General features: G+C 41.5%; 1 protein-coding gene across 5 annotated transcripts in view, besides 3 other annotated features; it reads left to right on the forward strand.

Annotated features, from left to right (window-relative positions):
- Window positions 1-23,384, forward strand: part of POU6F2 (POU class 6 homeobox 2) — a 490,693-nt gene that overhangs the window by 277,699 nt on the left and 189,610 nt on the right. The gene's annotated exons all lie outside the window — the stretch shown is intronic.
- Window positions 3,598-4,131: an enhancer, noted in NCBI's record as "H3K27ac-H3K4me1 hESC enhancer chr7:39298804-39299337 (GRCh37/hg19 assembly coordinates)". NCBI's record gives its function as "activates a minimal SCP1, AML or CMV promoter by ChIP-STARR-seq in primed H9 embryonic stem cells {active_cell/tissue: H9 hESC(primed)}" and the evidence as "EXISTENCE:reporter gene assay evidence [ECO:0000049][PMID:30033119]".
- Window positions 15,526-16,026: an enhancer, noted in NCBI's record as "H3K4me1 hESC enhancer chr7:39310732-39311232 (GRCh37/hg19 assembly coordinates)". NCBI's record gives its function as "activates a minimal SCP1, AML or CMV promoter by ChIP-STARR-seq in naive H9 embryonic stem cells {active_cell/tissue: H9 hESC(naive)}" and the evidence as "EXISTENCE:reporter gene assay evidence [ECO:0000049][PMID:30033119]".
- Window positions 16,027-16,527: an enhancer, noted in NCBI's record as "H3K4me1 hESC enhancer chr7:39311233-39311733 (GRCh37/hg19 assembly coordinates)". NCBI's record gives its function as "activates a minimal SCP1, AML or CMV promoter by ChIP-STARR-seq in naive H9 embryonic stem cells {active_cell/tissue: H9 hESC(naive)}" and the evidence as "EXISTENCE:reporter gene assay evidence [ECO:0000049][PMID:30033119]".

Genomic DNA, 23,384 nt, shown 5'->3' on the forward strand with positions numbered 1-23,384 from the left:
TAACTCAAGTTATTTAAAAATTAAGTGAGCTAAATGCCTGGTTTGGATTAATCGGTTGCCAAATAAGTCATCATAAGCCGTCTAACTTTAGAAGTGACAGTAACGACCCTGGGTGAGGAAAGGGATTTAGGGCAGTGTGTCTGAAGCTGAGGGCCTTCTGGCAGATTCCAGATGACTTCATTTTTAAAAGTCTGTGTATGTGAATTTGTCTTCTCAAATCTCCTTTAAAAGCAGTACTGCCCCTCTCAAATTTCCAGCCATGAGCTCCTCCAGGTGAGCAACTGTATCTTCTGCTTTTCTAGCCTCTAGCACCTGCCTAGAAGTTTGCTGAATTAATAGATTGCTCCACACAGAAGCTACATTAAAAAATCACCTAGTAGTAAAGAATAGGGTCTCAATGTACATTTACCAATGGATTGATGGATTCAAGAAGGTTACAAGCGTGAGAATGATTTCTGCCTTTCCCGGGTACATTCCTTGAATCCCCCAGATGTTTCTCTGTTCCACATTGAGATTGTCTGATACACTGCTTTTTTTTTTTTTGAACCCTGCCATTTTGCTCTTCCATAGCTTTCATTACTCTCACCTTGTTATATGTATGCATCTACTTCCTTTCATAAAGCATGTGACCTTGCACACAGCAGGCCCTCAACGAGTGCTTAGAACAAGAAGGGTGGAATCTGGTGGGGCAAAAGGACAACATGCCCATAGGCCAATAAGCATAGGAAGACCGGGGTATCAAAATCCCCAGGAGAGGATCCCATCAGGCTGGGGGAAAAAGAGGGACAGTACTAATTCTTTAGGGGGAAAGAGGTGAGCTGGGAAGATCAGAGTGGAATTAATTCCTCATTAAACTCCCTCTTCATGCAATAGGAAGAAAAATGCTCCCTCACCAAAGATGTCTATGTCCTAACCTCCAGAACCTGTGAACAGGTTGTTAAAAGGTAAATAAAAATTAAGGTTGTGAATGGAAATAAATCTGCTAATCTGCTCACCTTAAAGTAGAGAGATTATCCAGGATTATCGAGTGGACTCAATGTAATCACAAGGTCCTTTAAAGCAGAAGGAGGCAGAAAAAAGTCCCAATTAAAGAAGGTGTGATGATGGCAGCAGATCAGAGTCAACCAGTGTAGAAAGACTGGCCCAGCCGCTGCTGCCTTTGAAGTTGGACGAATAGAGCCCCTTCCAAAGAACATGGGCAGTCTAGAAGCTGAAAAAGGCAAGGAAACAGATTCTCCTATAGAGCCTCCAGGAAGAAACATAGCCCAGCCGACACTTGATGTTAGCCCATTAAAACCCATTAAAACCCATTTTGCATGTTTTACTTCCAGAAATGTAAGATCACAGATTTGTGTTGTTAATAGCAGCAAATAGCAAACTAATACCGCATAGGAGTCTATTATTAACTACATAGCACATGTATACCTAAAAGTTTACCAGCTCACTTATGAGGAACTCCCGTCAACCCTCTCAATGGAAGGTTTGTTGCATCTGTTTATTGCCACAAGCTAAGCTAAGCTCACAAGCCGCATACATTTATATTTTGGGAAATAGTGCAGATACAAAGGAGCATGGTACCCAAGGGAAGGAAAAGGTGGAGACTTTGAGACTTTCCACTTTCTAGGATCCTGACTAATATACTTCCTAATACTTTGGGGAAATACATGCACTTGGAGTTAGGAGTAACAACTTCTGAAAAACCTAGAAATTATTTAGTCATTGTAAAGCCTAGTTAGAATTTCAAATTATTTAATATGCCTTAGATAAAATTTTCCATTTTTGAAGGGAAAAAAAATCTTCTTGTTACAGTGAACTTTTAAATTCCTATTCGTATTGGTTTTGCTTTTCCTGTTAGCACATCTGAAAATAATTGTTTGTTATCTAGAAACAAAAGCTTTAAGCCGCTTACATTGTGTCTCCGTAGGATTATACACCCACAAACCAGCTCAGGGTGGGTGTCAAAGGCACAAACTCGTGCTCCATATGTACCCACCCTGCTTTGTGAAGACACATACTTGCAAAGAAAAAGTAAAACTAAGAAGGCAAGAGAACTAGGCTTAGAATGGAGCTTTCAACTACAACTCCAAGCCTAAAGCATCTGAGATAAAAAGATAATACTTATGCATTTGAATCAACATCACATACAGCATCACAAATTCCACCGAGAAAACCCACACTTCTGAAGTTCTGTGTGCCCATTGAGGCAGGGTACACACGGGGGAAATTTATACATGCATGGCACTGCCACACTTACTCTACATTTTTCCCCATAGACGTGTTTCATGTATATCAAAGCTTTCAGATATCTATAACTTTTATGCAGAGGGAACATAAAATTCTTAAAAGAAAGTACCAGTGCTTAATACTATTTACGTGTACATTTTTGAAACTACATTGTTTGGGCCACCACTGTTTCCCCCCATTTCCTACAGATGCAAGATTACCTGGGGAGAAGAATGTGCTATAAATTGAGGCTGAACATAGATTAAATACATCACAAATTCTTAGCTCTCATATCCTTGGGTAGTGGAATTAACTTTCAGATAATACCACGTAGATGACTTGGTTATGACTGTAACTCACAACAGAAACAGTAGTTACATATTTTTATTTTTTTATTGATTTGTCTCCCAATATAAAAATAAATACCCAGAGGCAACAGCACTATACTGGACTCTGAGAGATTTGAAGGCGGCAGCTCTACCTTTTACTTTTTGAGAGCATTCACTGAGAAAAAGAGAAATATTAAAAACTGTGTTCTGGAGCCTGGGATTTTATCCAGACATTTTCACATACTGGTTTTAAAGTGTGTGTCACATTATTCTGTCCTCATTGGTAGCTGGTATAAGCCACAAGTTTCACATTTAAGAATCTTATGCCTAGACCCTGTATATGATAAATTAATCAACCCACCTTTTTCCTGGTTGCTTCATTCCATAGAGATCCTTCTGTTGTGGTAACACAATTGTTGGTTGCTAATTTCTTTCTGGGCTCAAATTATGTTTAATAGCTTTTTTGACATTTCAGGTGTAAAATTCACCAATAGCCACAAATTGTTTTCTGTCTGCTTTTTGGATTTTTACTCTAGATGTTTAAAAAAAAAAAAAGAAGAAGAAGAAGAAGGTGGTAGGGGCACCGCAGAATCTGTGATATTGTAAAGTGGTCCAGGTGGGCAGAAAATCACAGTGGCAGCTACAAACCACCTTGCTCATTTCACGTGACAAAGAATGCAAAGGTAAATGGAAAGGAAGGAAGCTGAAAAGAAAGGAAGCTAATTGCAGGCCATTTGTAACTGTTAGGAATGGGTAAACATATTACACTTCTCCCAGTATAACGTAGCGTTCTGGGTGAATTGCACCTAATTTTTTTCTTATTATGCCATTTGAAGGACAAACTCATTCTTCACAGAAATTGCTTCAGGGCCTGAAGGCTCATGTAACTTGTTTAATCATGATTGTTATTTGATAGCATTACCTGGTAATCACTCTATCAAAAGTTGGATGATTATCTAGAAGCCACATTAAGCAAAGACATTTAAAGACTATAGATATTAAGAGCCCAGTTCTGCCTCCATCACAATACATTTTATAAACTTAAGCGGCAGCTGATTTTTGTTTTCCAGTTTCAATGTTGTTCTCTATCGAGAAAAAAATAAAACAGTGGGCAGCTTTTTAAGCCAACTGTTTACTCAGATGTAATCCTGGGTAAGTTATTCGGCCTGACTTTGTATTGAGAAGTTTCCGGCCTTTGGAAACAGATCATCCCCCTAAAACATGCACAAACGACATAACTTGTCCTTGAACAGAGAGAAAAACAAAATGGCCTGTTGGGCCCCGAGTAGGGAGATGACTGAGGAGTCCAAAGACTGTGGGAAGTCAAAAGGCAAGCGAGAAGCAGAGAGAGCAGGACACCCAGCCCTGAGCTCCAGGAGCCACATTCCTCCTTGAGCACGTTCCAAGGGCCGTGTTGCCCTCCTGGAGTCAAAGGATGATCAGGCGGCACAGGGACACACAGGGAGCCTGGGCCTGTGCATTCCTAACTTTCCTGGGCGGTAAGAGCACACTTGTGTATGCACTAAAACTTTTTATCTCAGCATCCTCCCTGGGCTGCTCCAGATTCTCTCTCTGCTGGCCTCCTCGTCCTCTCCAACAGCCTCCCCTGCTCCTTCGGGAAATCTGTGGGCTGCTCCCCACAGCCCATGAGCCTGCCCCAGCTCTCAGCTTTCCTAGGCACCATGCAGACAGAGCCCAGACGCCCAGGGTCTGGCTTCTAAGTGTTGCTGCAGCCTCCGGCCTGTGGGACACTGGAGGGTGGGAGTCCTGTGTGTGTGCATGCCCTACACGTACATGCACCACACACACACATACACACACACAGTCACCACAAGCACACACCACACCACACCATACCATGCTCACACCACACATACAATACCACGTACACACTACATAATCCATACACATACGATACACACACCACACGCATTCTCCATACCATGCTCACACCACACACACAATACCACACACACCACACACTCTGTACTCATACACACACCGCACACACTCCATACTGTGCTCACACCACACACACAATACCACACACACCACACACTATACACATGCAATACACACACCACACCCCCGACACACACACTCCATACCATGCATACACCACACACACTCTCCATACCATGTTCACACCACACACACAATACCATGCACACACCACACACTCTATACACATACAACACACATACCACACACACATTCCATACCTTGCTCACACCACACACACAGACACCACACACCAGAAACACACATATACACACACCCCATACACATACATACCACACACATACACACCATACCACACACAAGCCACACACACATCATGCTTCACACACACCACACCACATTCCACACACATACCACGTTCCACACACACCACATTCCACACACATACCACATTCCACACACATACCACATACCACACACACACCATACACACAATACAGACACCACACACCACACATACATCACATGCATACACATACCACACCATACACACCAGATGCCACACATATACCACAAGCATACATACCGCACACCACATATACTACACCACCTGCACACAACACACAGACACCATGCCACATACCACATATACCACACACAACACTTAAACACACATATATGACATACATACATCACATTACACATACCACAGACACACACAATGCACACATAGGTACCACACCACATACCACAGACTCCACACACCATACACGCCACCTACACATATATATCATATTATACACATCTCACACATACACACACCCTACATCACATGCACACCACACCCACCACCATTCATATCACACACACATCACAGCACAGCACATGTATCACACATACACACTACACACATACCACACATCTACATAACACATACACACATGCACACACACACACACACACACACACACCCCACGCCACAGATCTGTCTCCTGCTTCCTTTGGTCAACAATGAAAGCTGCCACAGAGACAAAGTTAGGCAAAGGTTCTGTGACCACTAATTCCACAACTGCCAGGGCTCAGCCAGGCCACCTCTCCTGCTCCTGCAGGAACCTGCTCCACTGGGATGCTCTTCCTGCACTGCCAGCTCTTCTTCCGACACCCAGGCATTTCCCTGAATCCTCCTTCCTCCATCACATCTTCTCTGTTAACTCCTTAGGTCACCTTATTAAAGTAGGTCATTCCAGTGGTTGCCTCTTAGAACATATCCAAGTCATAATGTGGATTTGTCTAGTTGCTTGAAACTGACTTTCCATTTTTGGCCATGATGAAGAATCAGCTTTTCTGGCTCTCACTTTTTATAAGGCATTGTTCTCATCCATTTATTTTAAGTATCTCATTGAATCTTCCCCACAATCCTCAGGTAGGAACCGTTATCAACCCTGTTTTACAGATGAGAAAACAGGCACAGAATGTTTACGTGCCTTGTTCAAGGTCACACAGCCTGTAAGTGGCAGAGGCGGGATTTGAACTTGGACCTGACCACACTACACCATGCTGTCATTTCCCATCTAAGAATGGCAAAATGGACCTCATAATTTCTAGGGCCCTTTTCATCTCCGTAGTTCTGTGATTTGTTTTCTACTATGTTGTTCAGGTAAATGAGTTTTCATTTTTGTCATGTTTATGCAGATTGCATATTTTCTGGTTTAACTAGAAAATTCACTAGTACTTATGTCTTTAAGACATCAGAGTAGATGTAAAGGAAATGAGCCAGTAAATCTAAAACACATTCAGTGTTTTCTCTCATCGTGATTTTAGGCCTGTGGGAATCAGCTGGGAGGGAGAGCTTGAAATGTGTTTTCTGAGTTGGCTGCTGCGGGAAGCAATATGGAAGGGTGGAGAAACACTGGAAAAGGGGTCTGGGAACAACAAAAAAAAGTTGCTCAATGGTGCCAGTTTGGGGAGATCTGTAAAGGTTCAAAATCTTTCACCTTAGACCAGTTTATAGCCAAATGTAAGCTTCATATATTACATCATTATGCTGAAACAGTGGTTCATAAGGTTCCTGTTTGCAGTAGGAAAACAAGGTTGTTATGAGACCTTGGTGGGACATCAAGAGGAAGAGACCTAACTGGCAACTGTCAAACATGGGGAAAGGATGGCCTTACAAAACAGGAATGAATGGTGGATCTGAACGGCTCCAGTGAGCTTGTGCCCATAGTCACAGCGGCTGGAGATCCTGACAAGCCCAAGTCCCAGCAGATGCTTACTGGAACTCAGTTTTATATCCATTTTCTTTTTCTCAGAGCCTGATTTTGTAAAAGTTCAATGATGGCATCCACATTGGATCACTGTTCAACTCTTCATTCTACAAATGCCGAACATGCAACAACTGCTATACAACTGTGTAGAGCAATTTTGTGCTCCTTCTTTTTATAAATGACTAGGGTTTTTTAATATTTAAGAAAAGCATAATAATATACTGATCAATATCACACTGGGGAAACTTTAAAGTTATTATCTTCAAAATGAGTAGAATTGCCATATCAGAACATAAGCATCTTTACTTTCAGGTCTTGTGGTATGCATTTTATTTATAGCATAGTTGTAGTTTGTTGTTGTTGTTGTTTTTTCCAACCAACATGAATCACGGAGTCGGACTTTTTTTAAAAACATAAAATGCATTGGAACCTATAACATATACTTAACAAAATTACCCAGTGCATTTTCTGTGAATAGTACCCAGTTCCCTTTCCCTTCTTTTCTGACAACAAGAGTGCTATTGCTCAGAAAATCACCATTTCCCATCACTTTTATTTGACTGAAAACAGACGGGTTTCCTAAGGTACCATGTTCTGCTCATCTGATATAAGATCACGTTAAAGATGATTGTGGCAATTTGTATCCTCTTGTTGTGAAACCACATGCTGTCCCCAGAAATTCAGGCCACATTTTTAGAGACCTCTTTTGTGTGCTTTTTATTATTATAAAGACACATATGCACAATTTTAAAATTCAAAAATGTAAAAAAGTATTAAAAAGAAAACTAGAAACATCCCTAATTTGTCATAAGATTAAGGAAAATGTTACTTTCTTTTTTCTCTTTTCAGTATTAAAATAAAATATGTGTTTTGAAATCACCCAGAGTTTTATAACTCAGACTTATCTACTGATAATGTTTTGGTGTTCCTCCTTTCAATATTTTATCTAATCACACGTAGTGGACCCACGTTTTTAAAAGTTTAAATCACACCTTCTATAGCAGTCAAGGTTTTTTTCTTTTAGCATCTTATTCTGAATGTATTCCTGAAGCTGTACCTTTGGTCTAAACTTCACTAGACCTTTTAAGATCAGAGGATTGTGTCTTTGTTTAATTAAGATACACACGGTTGTATAATTTGGGTATCTTTTGGATACAATGTTCTGAACAAAGAAAAATAGAAAAAGTCAAAAGAGGATATTATAATTTGTATTGGCTTTTGTGTTGTGAAGCCTACTGGACATGCATACAATTACATGTGTGTGCATGCGTGTTCACGCACACACACGCACACACACACACACAAGTCACACGCCCCACTTCATCTTTCTAATTACCCTTATTGCAACCTGATAGAATGCAGAACAGCATTTTTTTATTGTCTATTTTCCCCCAGCCCCTATCACCATGGTCCATGTCCAGATGTGACCTCCCCGAAGGCAGGAACTGTTTTTACTTCACTGTTGTCTCTCCAGAGCCTCTAACAGTGCCTGGCACTACAGAGGCAGCCTTTCAATAAGTGCTGATAGAATAAAGATGTGTGCATGGCCATTTCCTGTCCTGAATTCTCTCAGTTCTCCCAGCTCCTCAGTCTGACTTCCAATGTCAACTTGCTAATTTTCTGCTCAATGGCAGGAAGGACTGGCATTAGGAGGTACTTCTTGACGGTCTCAAGGCCCCTAAGACATCAAAATGGAAGTCCAGGCCTCTCAGCATGGTGGTGAGGACCATGGGCCCTAGAGCTGACTTCCAGCGTCTGAGCCCAGCTTCCCCACTTCTACCTGGGCTGTGTGGGCAATTCACCCACCTCAGCTGTGGGAGCATTCAATGATTTAGTGTCCATAAAGCTCTTAGAATGAGGCCTGGCATACAGTAAGTGCTCTATTGGTGTTAGCTGTTAGTGAAGGAAACCAGGGAGCAAGGAAGTAAGAATGTGGACCCGTCATTCAAATGCACTTGGACGCCCAGCCATCCAACTGGGCCCTACTGAGTTATGGCCTGGTTAGATGATTCAATCCCTGTTATAATGAAGATTTGAGGAAACCATTCTGACTGCAAGAGTGGGATTGTGGCCCCAAGATTATTTCCTGAGTGTATCATTTGGGATGGTGAGAGTCCCAGCTGGTGTCTAAACTTTGTTCATCTCTATAATTCTGCCAAACCTGGCCACTCAGTCCTCTGACAGACTAAGATGTGGTGAGGTCATCAGTTATTTACCCGTCTGGCTCCCCTCCTATGGTGTAAGCCTATACTCCTGGTGCCTAGCTTAGTATCTGCCACAGGCTAAGTAGTCAATAAATGTTGAATGAATCAGTAAATAAATAAGTACATTCAATATATAATTTAGGTGTTCAGAGGATATATGTGCAAATATGCATAATATATGCATATATACATACATATATGTGTGTACAGATATATATACACATATGTATGTGTGTGTGGAGACGGCTAATATATATACTCCCTGCATACCACAAAGAACTGTTCTAAAGAATAAATCCAAGAAAGTACCCAAAATTGGTTGGAAAAACTGCAAATGTCTACACATCAAAAAAGTATTTGCTCTTATTGTCAGGCATGGTCAGAGAAGGATTATTAAAGGAGGTTGTTAGGCCTTGAGCTGAACTTTGAAGGAAAGGTAAAATCTGGCCAGGCAGAGAAAAGCCAGCCTGGTGAAATAAACAGAAAAGGTCAGAATGTATACCTCAGGCAGTTCTCACTTTGCTGTTTTATAGAAAATATAAAGATACTCTCCCCCACCCCCAACACATACACACCCTAGTAAAAATTCTGGGACCCTCTGGTTCTGAATTTGGGATAGGAAATCCAAGCCTGTGTGATCCCCCAGGTCTGGGGTGAAGGTGTTTAAACTGCTCGGCCATACCCCAAGCACAGGACTACCCACCCAGGCCAGCCTGCCTTACCAGAGCTTCTGGAGCCAGATGGGCTTTGAGGAAGTCTAACAAAAAGCATTACTGTCCCTCCACCCCAACTTCCCTCAGAGAGAAAACCAGAGTTTCCCAAATCTCACACCTAACCCACATTATTATTACTTATGTTTGGCTCATTTGAAAGTATGTACTTTTCTTAATACATTTAAACGTTTACATGTGCATTTCAAGAGGGGCATGTGGTTTCAAATAAGTTATCCATAGTTTTACCGTTGAAATACTCCACATTTTAGAATGTGCTATCAAAATTAAAATAATAATTTATTTCAATCGGCCATAGTTTTTTCCCCAACCTGGTACCGCCAGAGCTGGGTTTTATGCTGGAAGGTAGCATCTCAGGCTGCCAGAAGAGATTTCCATCTCGCTTTGACTCCATTAAAGTAAGCTTCTATAAACAGACATCAATTACAACCAGTTTTAAGGGTTTTAAAATGTAATCCTACAGTGCTGCTTAACTAAATGAATCCCAGGAAGTGATCTCCAGTGAATTAATAGAGCGGTGTGCAGACGACTCACTATGAGTCTGAGTTAATGACTGAAGAAGATCAAATTAATTACAAGTGTCTCCAAGGAGTTTCCAGGATGAATTCTCCCTTATCAGTTAAAGTCTGTTTAACCCTTCATGTTCAAAGTCCGTACATTTTCTAATTGCTAAGATATCAATAATAATGGGAAGAGAAAGGCTGGTCTGCCTTCTCCTCGGAAGTGGAGGTTTTCAGATGTATCAAAGCATCTCACCCACTGGGAGGGAAGCATCCCATGAACACACTGATTCACCAGGCCTTTTTCATGGATTGGAATCCAGCTGGGTTTCTGTCTGAACCATCAGGGAAGTTCCCTTGGCAAAGAGCCACAGGAGATTTTTAAAAAGTTTTTATGCTTAAAAAGTGTCCAAAAAAGATAACTTTATTGGAGGCGGAGGATATCCATGTGAACAGGATCAGATACACGTCTGCATTGACCAGGAAGAAGGGTTCAGGGTCAACATCAACATCGTTTTGCACCACAAGGATGTGGTAGTTGATCAGCAAAGAGCTCCTGAATAAGCCAATTTCCCCAGGAAATCACAGAAGGGCAAAATGCTCAGGCCCTCCTTGGCAGTGTTTACGTAGCCTTATGGAATCACCCTCAACCCAGCCCAGGGATTGGTCCCTTGCATCTCCCTGTGTGGTGATTTTATTTTCTTTCTTATTTCTTTCTCTTTTTAGGGGGAATGGGGACTTGCTATGTTGCCTAAGCTGGGGCACAATGGTGTGATCATAGCTCACCATAGCCTTGACCTCCTGGGCTCCAGCGATCCTCCTGCTTCAGCCTCTTGAGTTGATGAGATTACAGGCATGAGCCACCGCACCTGGCCTTTTTTTTTTTTTTTTTTTGAATTGACACATTGTAAATGCATATATTTATGGGGTACAATTTAACATTTTGATATATATATGTTGTATAATAGTCAAATCAGGGTAGTTAGCGTACTCATCACCTCATGCATTTATCATTTCTTTGTAGTGAGAATATTCAAAAGCCTGTCTTCTAGCTATTTTGTAATATACAATACTTTCCTGTTAACCATAGTCACCCTACTGGGCAATAGAACACCAGAACTTATTCCCCCTATGTAGTGGTAACTTTGTACCTGTTGACCAACCTCTTCCCCTGCGTAGTGATTTTGAAATGAAGATTCTATATTTTGTAAATAAGCTGCCTTGCATTTTATCACTAACATGACCAAGAATTATTTTGGAGGGCTCCAGGGATGGTGTGCTTGTTTGAATAACATAATTGGAGAAGAAAACGGCAAAAGTCTAGAAAACTAAAGAAGAGGCAAGTTAAAAATAAGGGGTGAATAGAACTACGGGAGGAGGCTGTGGAATAGGAAAGAGAACACACACACAGACGCCCATAAAATTACAGTGTAGGAAAAGCAAATGGGATTGGGCTCTTGGATTCTCTGCTCTTCAGATATACAAGTGTCATTTTCTGTAGTTTTCTTATCCTTTGAGCACCCCTTATTTTCAATCGTTCAGGAATTAATTCATTTATGTATTCAATAAATGTTCATTGAGTGTATATTTCTAAGCCAGACATGTGCCAGGCCCTAGGGAGGCAGCAGGGAGCCCCGCATCTGTTGCCTGTCACTGAATATCCTGGATAGGGCCAATTTGTGACAAACCTGACATAGGGAGAATCCCAGTGACATTTTATAATTTACATGATTTGGAAAAGATATTCTTCTGCAAAGTAATACGCTTAATGAATGAGTACTAGCTGTTAACTTTTCATACATTTAAAAATATTTTATTTATTTTTTTTTTTTAGAGGCAAGGTCTTGCTATGTTTCCCAGTCTGGCCTCAAACTCCTACGCTCAAGGGATCCTCCCACTTCAGCCTCCTGAATAGCTGGGAGTTCAGGTGTGGGCCATTGCACCTGACTAAAATTTCTGAAGTTTAACTGAGCACACACTGTTAACCCTAATTAGCTAGTCTGCTGACACTCTTCATTCCTCATGTCAGAATTTAATTTAATTTCAGTATTTAATTTATTCATACTATGAGGTTTACCCTCCCCAAGCCCTTTGTCTATCTGTCAGTCTTTTCCTAAGGTGGGTAACACACAGCTTGCTTGTGAGGAGAGTTTGACTGGAAGGGGTTACTCAGATTGATCCTGAAGGTGCACCCCACAGCAATCCCACAGACAAGCTTCTCCTTAAAATATACTAATTCCAGAGAAGCATTCGCTTTTGATGACTTTGTCAATTTCAGCCCCTGAGATAATACACCATGTTTTTATGTGTTGTCTGCATAGGGAGATGTGGCAACAGAGTGTGAAAGTCACACAGTCACGTGCCCAGATTGACTGTGATTTTGTTGCTGCTGTAAAGTCCATCAAAGATAATGGAATGTAGATAAAATAAAATCACATTGCCCATTCTGCACCCACCCAAGCTGGAATTTCGGTGCAGGGACACTAATTGGTGCCAGTTTAGATCTGCCTGATGTTATCTTTATGAGTGTCTGTACTTGTGGGACAATCATACAAAACATGTCAGGGTGATGGCTTACACCAGCAGAAGGATGGCAGTACATAAAGTACTGAGGCGGAAGGTGCTTGATGACTTTCAGTGGCTTTTTTTAAGCGGAGAGATAGAACTGCTGTTAAGTTGCTCAAGCAGAAGTGTCTATAGGGCACTCCAAATGGCAGTGTTTAAAAAGAGCTCCTTTGTCACTTTGTATTCCGTAGAAAAATAGGTAAGGGAAAGAGAAGCTAACATGTGGCCAGCCTTGCACATGAAGATGGATACAGCGTGGCTCTTGACTGTCCTGCCAGACACTCACGCTCATGGAAAAATCTTTCTATGATGATGTGAGCAGAGAACCTTAAGTCCACTTTATATATAAATCCAAACAATCTTTTTATACAGAATTAATACACATTACATTTTCCAGGAATGCAACCACCCTTGACATCAGGAGAGGGCTAAATTTTGTTTTATTCAGATTTGCCACCAGAGTGACTGAGAGTTTTCACCACTTTAAATAAGTCTCCACTTCAAGTGTTGCCGGGGGTATTTAAGTTGCTAATCCCATGCTCCTGGATCCCTCTGATTAATAGTTGTAATCCTCACAGGACTCTGTTTATAAGTACAAAAAGTCACTACATCTTTCAGCATAGCCATGCATGAGCATTTACAGATGGAAATACATGGTATTTTATTATAAATTAGCTTCCTTTTATTTCTTTTTTGTTATAGTTGAGGGGTTATATTGATTTTTTTAGAAAGTCTGTGTGTAGGTAGGTTATATTGTTTCAATTCAGGCTAGTAAGGGAGTGTTATGAAGTATGTGTTATAAAGAAATGGTGTGGGTGTGATGTGGGTGAGAACCACTGACCCCAGGGGAGAGAAGGAAGGTTTCAGGCTGGCGCACACACAGCCTTCACCTCAAGCCAGGTGCAGCATCAGCCACTCCTGGCACATGGGTTGTCTCATTTCAGCGTGATGTTGACTCTTCCTGGACAGTTCCTCCTAGTAAAGGGGTCAGGAGAAAGGCCTTGATTCTCTTGAAATGCTGCCTGGGACCCTCCCCAGTCCTGTGACAGCCCCCCAACACCCCCACCAGATACAGATGGTCGGCTGGGCGGCAGGGCTGGAAGCCTGTCTTGGCCTCCACCAGCTGACAAGCTGGATAGTTGAGGCTAAGCTATTCCCTTTAATTTACCATGCGTCTTCTCATCCTATAAGTGGTTCTTTCTTCATCAGCTCCTATAGATTCAGGTCATAGAATCTGCCTTCCCAGGTGCCTCTTTTTTAGAGTTTGAGGCAGGACTGGTTGCCTGGCAGGTCCTCTGCAAGCACCCCCTGAGCCTGTTGAAGTGAAGCCTGCTAGGGCTTTGTGTTCACTTCTTGGTGCAAGCCAGGAGCTTGGGAAACCCTCTTTTGTGTATTGCTTGCATGGAAAAATGTGGCATCACAGTGTGAGGGTCATATAATCATGGGCCATATTGACTGTATGTGTGTTGCTATTGTGAAGACCATCCAAGATAAAGTAGACAAAATCACACCATCCCATTCCAGACTCATCAAGGCTGGAATTTCAATGTCAGGACTAAGTCAAGACGAGCTCTCAATATTTTCCAATAATAGGAAGATGTTTTATCAGTAGTATAGTTAAAACAAAAGTCATGAAGAAAGGACTCATAACTGTGTACAGAAGAGCACTTGAGGGTGTTTCCCTGTAGATCTCGTTTATTTCTCCCTGTCTTTGAGAGACAGGGCACCATCACAGATATAGGAATGAGCAGACTTAGCTTCAAATTCCAGCGGGGGAGACCATTGACAAGTCACATGCCTAAGGCTTGGTATCCATACACGTGGTATCCATGTGACTTGTGACACGTGATTAATAATGCCTGTCTTTAAGAGTCATTCTGAGGATGACATGAGGGAGCAAACACATGAAGTAGCACCATGGGTGCTTTGTAGATACAGACTGAATCTTTAGAACAATTTTATTTTACAGATGAGGAAACTGAGGCACAGAGAGGTTAAAGGATTTGCCATAGGAAGTATGTGATAGGCGACTTGAATCCAGACAGTTTGATGTCAGAGATCATGCTTTTAACACATGCTATATTGCCTCAAGGAAATGGATTTAGTAAATGGCAGTTGTTATTATTGTTATTGCTATTTTTAGTCTCTTCGCTTCTCTTCTCCTGCAGAGTGGAAGGTAAGGGAGGGTGCACAAGTGTTTGCAGGTAATGAAGTGTATGTGGGGCTTTTATCACCTCCACAGCCTAAACCTGGATCTTGTCATGCTAGGAAATCAAGCTACAATGGAACATTGATTTTTGCTGGTCACTATGAGGCCTGGAGGGTCGCGGAGTCCCCTGGTGCACTCAAACTTTATCTTTCTATCAATTAGCTTACACATCTCTAGAATGTGGATGGATAGAAACCCTCCTAGATTACAGAATCAAACCACCAATATTCTGGCCCCAATTAGTGACATAACTTCAATTCAGCTAGTAACTTCGAGGCTCACTTTCTTCCCCTTGGCTTCAAAAGGCTGTTTCATTCCAGTGTTCTACAAGACCCCTTCCGCCTTGAGGATTCTAGGATTCTCTGTCAGAGTCCTGGCCCAGTTAGCTTTGCCCTCACACACCCCACAGAACACAGAGCAGTCTCTTCTCTAGCCAGGGGCCAGCTGGGTAGTGTATCCCTCAATGTAGATCAGTGGTGACCCAACCACGACCAGCAGCCCTAGATCCAGGTCCCCACCTATTATTGTATACCTGTGAGCTAAGAATGGTTTTTACATTTTTAAATGGTTGAAAAAATTCAAAAGGAGAAAAGCACTCATGAGACATGAAAACTATATGAAATTCACATTTCGGTGTCCTTGGATAAAGTTTTATTGGAACCCAGTCTTGCTCTTTCATTTACATATTGTGTTTGGCTGTTTGTGGGCTGTTGAATATAAGTAGCAACAGGGACCAGATAACTACCAAGCCTAAAACCTTTATGATGTGGGTGCCTTACAGAAAAAGTTTGCTGACATGGACCTAAAGGCATGGCAAGAGAAAAAGTTCTAGTTTGGCTTTGTTTTATTTTGTTTTGTTTTACAAAGGAAACCCAGGTACTGTCTTGTGCTCAATCAGTGAAAAAAAAAAAAAAAAAAACCCTATGACCAAGGAGCAGCTCCTACAGCCAAGGAATCACAGAGTGCCCGGGCCTGGCCGTTTGCCAGCAGAAGTGGTTCTGGCAGCTGTGTGAGCCGTGGGGAGCAGCAGATTATCCCAGCAGCGTGAGCTTTGCAAAATTCCCGTCTCGTGGCTGAGCAAACCTGCTCGATGTGCCACAACTTTCCGTCAGTAACATGCCTATATGCTCATTTTCAAACATTATCTCTGCCAGGAGGGATAATTTGCTGTAATATGAGGATGAGACATCCAGGAGCCGTTCAAATCGTCATTCAACTTATTTTATTCTTTATTTTTAAACTATAAAAAAAAAATCCTGGAAATGGAAATGTTTCCAGCAAAATCAATTTTCTGCAGAAGAAAAACTTTACAGATTTTATTTCTGATCCAGCAAAAGGCTGGGTTCCATGGGATCCATACGGTTATGAAGAGGATGAGGAGTTGGGGTGTGTGTGTGGGGGTGGGGGAGAGGGGGTTGTTGTTAGATCAGATTACAGAAAAGCTAGTGCTTCGGAAAAACATTTAGATGGTAGATTTGGAGATAAATTTAAATATTATGATTGCTACAGAGAAAACTTAAGAAGGAAGTCCAGAAATAACCCAGGATCATAGGGAAGAAACCATTCAGTGGTTTTTAAGAAAACACAGCACTTAGTAGTTGCTCAGCTAGAGATAAGTCATAAATACCAAATAGAAATGTATTAAGAACTAGTCGATTCATCATCCTCCCACTACTGTAGAGAGATAGAGACTCCAGGCTAATCCCTCCTCCACTCCCATCACAGTTCAGCTGCTGGAGTCTTCCCAGTCAGCCTGATCTGGCCTCCTCCCTCTGGACCAGGGGGCCTTTCTGTCCTTCTTCCCTACCAACCAGGAAGCCCCTGGAGACCAGCATAATATTTTATTCCTCAGTGAATCCAAGGACTGCTTTCAGGGACAGAGCTGTAATAGGAGCCCAATAAATAAATGTTAGCTGAAAAAAAACAAAAACACCTATTTAGCTCAACTTTGGGAGTGGGGAGAAACCTTTTGTTGAGTTTGGAGCTCCCTGAAAATAAATATCCTAAGTATTATGGCACCAAACATTCTTGAAACTGAAATTTCCAAGATAGAGTTTCTCAAACATTGGCTAAATTCATACCAACTGAGTCAATTTGCTAATGTGGGACTTTTGGATTCTTAAGTATATATTTTTAGGAAGACCTATTTTTAAGCAGAAAGGATAATAAAGGTGATTTATTTAGTGACAGTATAGCTCTTTTCCCAAATTATTTTCTTCTATAACAAGAAGGAGAGGACTTAGCACTTAGATTATATTTACTGAACAAATAGTCACTCAACTCTAGTCAAACAATGAGCAATGACAAAGTCAGAGCCACTGCCCTCCTTCCAGAATTCCTTGATAATGAGGATGAAAAGACAACTTTAAGCAAACTATAAACATTTTAGGGAATGAAAGAAGGGGAGATGATGGGAGAAAGTATGAGAATATGATATTTTGCAGGATACTAGCCAAGAAATTCTGAAGCACTAACTTAGACAAGTCAAAGAGAAGAAAAAATAAAATAAAAAAGAATTTCAGATCTTTCTTAAGGAAGAATTTCAAATAACATATAGAGATATTCCACACCCTCCAGGATGGGGAACATAATTCTGCTCTTTCCCTACCCTCCCCCTTGCCTCCAGGATGGGCTAGACTCTGTGACTTGCTTCCAAAGAACAGAGTGTAAAAATGGAAAAATACTGTACAGTGAACAAACCTAGAAAACATGACTTAACCAAATGATGAAGGTTAACATTATCAGCGATGCCATGTGGATGTCATGTACCCTCTGATAGGATGTGATGAGACAGGCAGTTTGCCTCTGTGGTGTTCTTTCCAAAAACTCATAACCCCGTCGAATCAAGATTAAAACATCAGGAAAACTTAGATGGAGGGGCATTCTACAGGTAACCTGGCTAGTACTCCTCAGAATTTTAAGGTCATGAAAAACATAGAAAGACTGGGAAACTATCACAGGCCAGAGGAGACTGGGGAGACCTGACAACTAAATATAACATGGTACCCTGCATTGGATCTTGAAGCACAAAGAGGATGTCAATGGACAACTGGAAAAAGCCTGTAAGACTAGAGGTTTCTTGGTTTGTTTTTTTTTTTAAAGAGTATCATCGGGGAACAGTGAGTACTAACTAGGTCCCTCCTCCCTTTACCTCAGTAGATTGCAATTTGTCACCTACTTTCTCAATGTAACACTTTAGTTGCTTCAGAAAAGTTAAAGGCACTGCCTTAGAGAAGCCTATGTTGGCAACAAAATTATAGTGATAAAACCATGAAAAATGTAAATGAATAAAAGATTATACAGTTAGAATGCTTTTTGGAATAAACTATAAAGAGTAAAAACAAAAATATTGAAAAAATATTTATAATAACTGCATGACTATGGCAACTTTGCTTATTTTTAACAAATTTAATTTATATAATGTAAACTAACAGTTGTATTCAAGAATTTGGTGACCTTCTCATTTCACCTTCAAACTACTTACCAAAATATTTATTCTTGTCCATTAACATTTAATTTGAACCAGTCGTATAAAAAATTCTCTTTCAAGACCGCTAGCAAGACTAATAAAGAAAAAAAGAGAGAAGAATCAAATAGACACAATAAAAAATGATAAAGGGGATATCACCACCGATCCCACAGAAATACAAACTACCATCAGAGAATACTACAAACACCTCTATGCAAATAAATTAGAAAATCTAGAAGAAATGGATAAATTCCTCAACACATACACTCTCCCAAGACTAAACCAGGAAGAAGTTGAATCTCTGAATAGACCAATAACAGGATCTGAAATTGTGGCAATAATCAATAGCTTACCAACCAAAAAGAGTCCAGGACCAGATGGATTCACAGCCGAATTCTACCAGAGGTACAAGGAGGAACTGGTACCATTCCTTCTGAAACTATTCCAATCAATAGAAAAAGAGGGAATCCTCCCTAACTCATTTTATGAGGCCAGCATCATCCTGATACCAAAGCCAGGCAGAGACACAACCAAAAAAGAGAATTTTAGACCAATATCCTTGATGAACATTGATGCAAAAATCCTCAATAAAATACTGGCAAACCGAATCCAGCAGCACATCAAAAAGCTTATCCACCATGATCAAGTGGGCTTCATCCCTGGGATGCAAGGCTGGTTCAATATATGCAAATCAATAAATGTAATCCAGCATATAAACAGAACCAAAGACAAAAACCACATGATTATCTCAATAGATGCAGAAAAGGCCTTTGACAAAATTCAACAACCCTTCATGCTAAAAACTCTCAGTAAATTAGGTATTGATGGGACGTATCTCAAAATAATAAGAGCTATCTATGACAAACCCACAGCCAATATCATACTGAATAGGCAAAAACTGGAAGCATTCCCTTTGAAAACTGGCACAAGACAGGGATGCCCTCTCTCACCACTCCTATTCAACATAGTGTTGGAAGTTCTGGCCAGGGCAATTAGGCAGGAGAAGGAAATAAAGGGTATTCAATTAGGAAAACAGGAAGTCAGATTGTCCCTGTTTGCAGATGACATGATCGTATATCTAGAAAACCCCATTGTCTCAGCCCAAAATCTCCTTAAGCTCTTAAGCAACTTCAGCAAAGTCTCAGGATACAAAATCAATGTACAAAAATCACAAGCATTCTTACACACCAATAACAGACAAACAGAGAGCCAAATCATGAGTGAACTCCCATTCACAATTGCTTCAAAGAGAATAAAATACTTAGGAATCCAACCTACAAGGGACGTGAAGGACCTCTTCAAGGAGAACTACAAACCACTGCTCAATGAAATAAAAGAGGATACAAACAAATGGAAGAACATTCCATGCTCATGGGTAGGAAGAATCAATATCGTGAAAATGGCCATACTGCCCAAGGTAATTTATAGATTCAGTGTCATCCCCATCAAGCTACCAATGACTTTCTTCACTGAATTGGAAAAAACTACTTTAAAGTTCATATGGAAACAAAAAAGAGCCCGCATTGCCAAGTCAATCCTAAGCCAAAAGAACAAAGCTGGAGGCATCGTGCTACCTGACTTCAAACTATACTACAAGGCTACAGTAACCAAAACAGCATGGTACAGGTACCAAAACAGACATATAGATCAATGGAACAGAACAGAGCCCTCAGAAATAACGCCGCATATCTACAACTATCTGATCTTTGACAAACCTGAGAAAAACAAGCAATGGGGAAAGGATTCCCTATTTAATAAATGGTGCTGGGAAAACTGGCTAGCCATATGTAGAAAGCTGAAACTGGATCCCTTCCTTACACCTTATACAAAAATTAATTCAAGATGGATTAAAGACTTAAACGTTAGACCTAAAACCATAAAAACCCTAGAAGAAAACCTAGGCATTACCATTCAGGACATAGGCATGGGCAAGAACTTCATGTCTAAAACACCAAAAGTAATGGCAACAAAAGCCAAAATTGACAAATGGGATCTAATTAAACTAAAGAGCTTCTGCACAGCAAAAGAAACTACCATCAGAGTGAACAGGCAACCAGAAAATGGGAGAAAATTTTCGCAACCTACTCATCTGACAAAGGGCTAATATCCAGAATCTGCAATGAACTCAAACAAATTTACAAGAAAAAAACAAACAACCCCATCAAAAAGTGGGCAAAGGATATGAACAGACACTTCTCAAAAGAAGACATTTATGCAGCCAAAAGACACATGAAAATATGCTCACCATCACTGGCCATCAGAGAAATGCAAATCAAAACCACAAAGAGATATCATCTCACACCAGTTAGAATGGCAATCATTAAAAAGTCAGGAAACAACAGGTGCTGGAGGGGATGTGGAGAAATAGGAACACTTTTACACTGTTGGTGGAACTGTAAACTAGTTCAACCATTGTGGAAGTCAGTGTGGCGATTCCTCAGGGATCTAGAACTAGAAATACCATTTGACCCAGCCATCCCATTACTGGGTATATACCCAAAGGACTATAAATCATGCTGCTATAAAGACACATGCACACGTATGTTTATTGCGGCACTATTCACAATAGCAAAGACTTGGACCCAACCCAAATGTCCAACAATGATAGACTGGATTAAGAAAATGTGGCACATATACACCATGGAATACTATGCATCCATAAAAAATGATGAGTTCATGTCCTTTGTAGGGACATGGATGAAATTGGAAATCATCATTCTCAGTAAACTATCGCAAGGACAAAAAACCAAACACCGCATGTTCTCAGTCATAGATGGGAATTGAACAATGAGAACACATGGACACAGGAAGGGGAACATCACACTCTGGGGACTGTTGTGGGGTAGGGGGAGGGGGGAGGGATAGCATTAGGAGATATACCTAATGCTAAATGACGAGTTAATGGGTGCAGCACACCAGCATGGCACATGTATACATATGTAACTAACCTGTACATTGTGCACATGTACCCTAAAACTTAAAGTCTAATAATAATTTTTAAAAAATTCTCTTTCAAAACATAACTCCCAGCATGTGCTTTGGGAGAAACTTTCAATTGTAAAAACAATAGCTAAGATTGAAGAAACAGTACAGTTTCAAGTAAATAAAGGTAGACAGGAAGTTCTCTGGCTCTTAAATCCTGTCACTAATAAATCAATATAATCAGAAAAACACATTTTTAAATTTAAATTTAAGTTTAAATTTTAGATTCAAGGGGTACATGTGCAGATTTGCTACATGGGTATATTGCGTGATGCTGAGGTTGGGCTTCTATTGATCCCAACACGAAGATAGTGAGCATAGTCCCCAGAGGGAAGTTTTCCAGCCCTTGCCCCCCTCCCTCTCTACTTTCTTTTGGAGTCCCCAGCATCTATTGTTCCCATCTTTATGTCCACGTGTACCCAGGAGTTAACTCCCACTTATAAGTAAGAACATGCAATATTTGGTTTTCTATTTCCGCAAAAAGCAAGTATTATTGAGTCTCCAAGCACCAGTGCCTTGATTTCAGCCCTGGGGAAGTATGGAGTGTCTAGGATGTCAGATCCTTTGTCATCATCAATTGAGCGGGGAAAGACCCAGGGAAAGGGAAAACATTGGTGCTTTGGTTAACTTTCCCTTAACAAACTTTCAGAGGTTGGGCCACCGAAGTGGTTAGGGGGAAATTTTCCTAAGGAAGCTGTTGGAGCCAAGCTGCCCTATAGAAAAAGGTCGGGGGCCAGGAGCGGTGGCTCACACCTGTAATCCCAGCACTTTGGGAGGCCATGGCGGGCGAATCACAAGGTCAAGAGGTCGAGATCATCCTGGGCAACATGGTGAAACCCCCTCTCTACTAAAAATACAAAAATTACCTGGGTGTGGTGGCACGCGCCTGTAGTCCCAGCTACTTGGGAGGCTGAGTCAGGAGAATCGCTTGAAGCTGGGAGGTGGAGGTTGCAGGGAGGCAGAGGTTGCAGTGAGCCGAGATCGGGCCACTGCACTCTAGCCTGGCGACAGAGTGAGACTCCGTTGAAAGAAAGCGAGAAAGAGAGGGAGGGAGGGAGGGAGGGGGGGAGGGAGGGAGGAAGGAATCAAATGGTGGGGGACGTAGATGAGAAGCAGCTCCTCTAGACCCCACAGTGCAAGGAGAACTCTGAGGAAAAGCAGAGAAGGCGTTTCGGAAAAGCTCCTGAGATAGGATCCATGGGACACTTTGGCATCACTGTGATCAGAAACTGGAAGTAAGCTCTTTCCATAGATCCAGGCCCAGGAGACACAAACCAATGGCATTGAGCCTGTTTATGGTCACCTTCTGCATGGTGTTGGGGGTAAGGGGAGTTGGCGCACCTGGTTTTGCTCATTCTCCGCATCGATCAGACAGAGTCCAAGTGGCCAATATTCTTCCACTCTGTTCTTCATGAAAAAAGCCCACCCTCTAATGAGGATGCCTGGCAACTTACCTTTTATAGAGGAATGCAGAGAACAAAGGGTATTGAGTAGATTCTGAAACTGATTTCCAGACCTTCCTTGTAAGTAGAATGCAGGCAGGTGGCCCAATCTAGACACCCACCCGTGCTTGTCCCACCCCTGTGTAAGGGCTCTCCTTTCTGACAGCTGAGAAGTCCTTGGATTTCTCACCTCAAGAAAGCCCCTGTAGCCAGCAGCTCTGTGTCTGTGCCCACTCTTCACGCTGGCATACAGGGGGCTATACAGGCAGGAACAGTGGGATGTGTGCCTGTCACCAAGTCCAGCATGTAGCTCAGCTGAGAAGCATTTTTGTGCATGGCATCCTGCATATTGCCGTTCTTAGCCATCACCATCCACATGTTCCTCAGGCTGGAGAAGTGAAACTCAAACCTCCTTCTCCCTCATTACCAACTACTTCCAACATTCTAGATTCTGTCTCCAAAACAGCACACAAACACACCTCCAGTTCCCTAACCTGACTTTTA

The sequence above is a fragment of the Homo sapiens genome, chromosome 7 (assembly GCF_000001405.40).
Source record: "Homo sapiens chromosome 7, GRCh38.p14 Primary Assembly".
Lineage (NCBI taxonomy): Eukaryota > Metazoa > Chordata > Mammalia > Primates > Hominidae > Homo > Homo sapiens.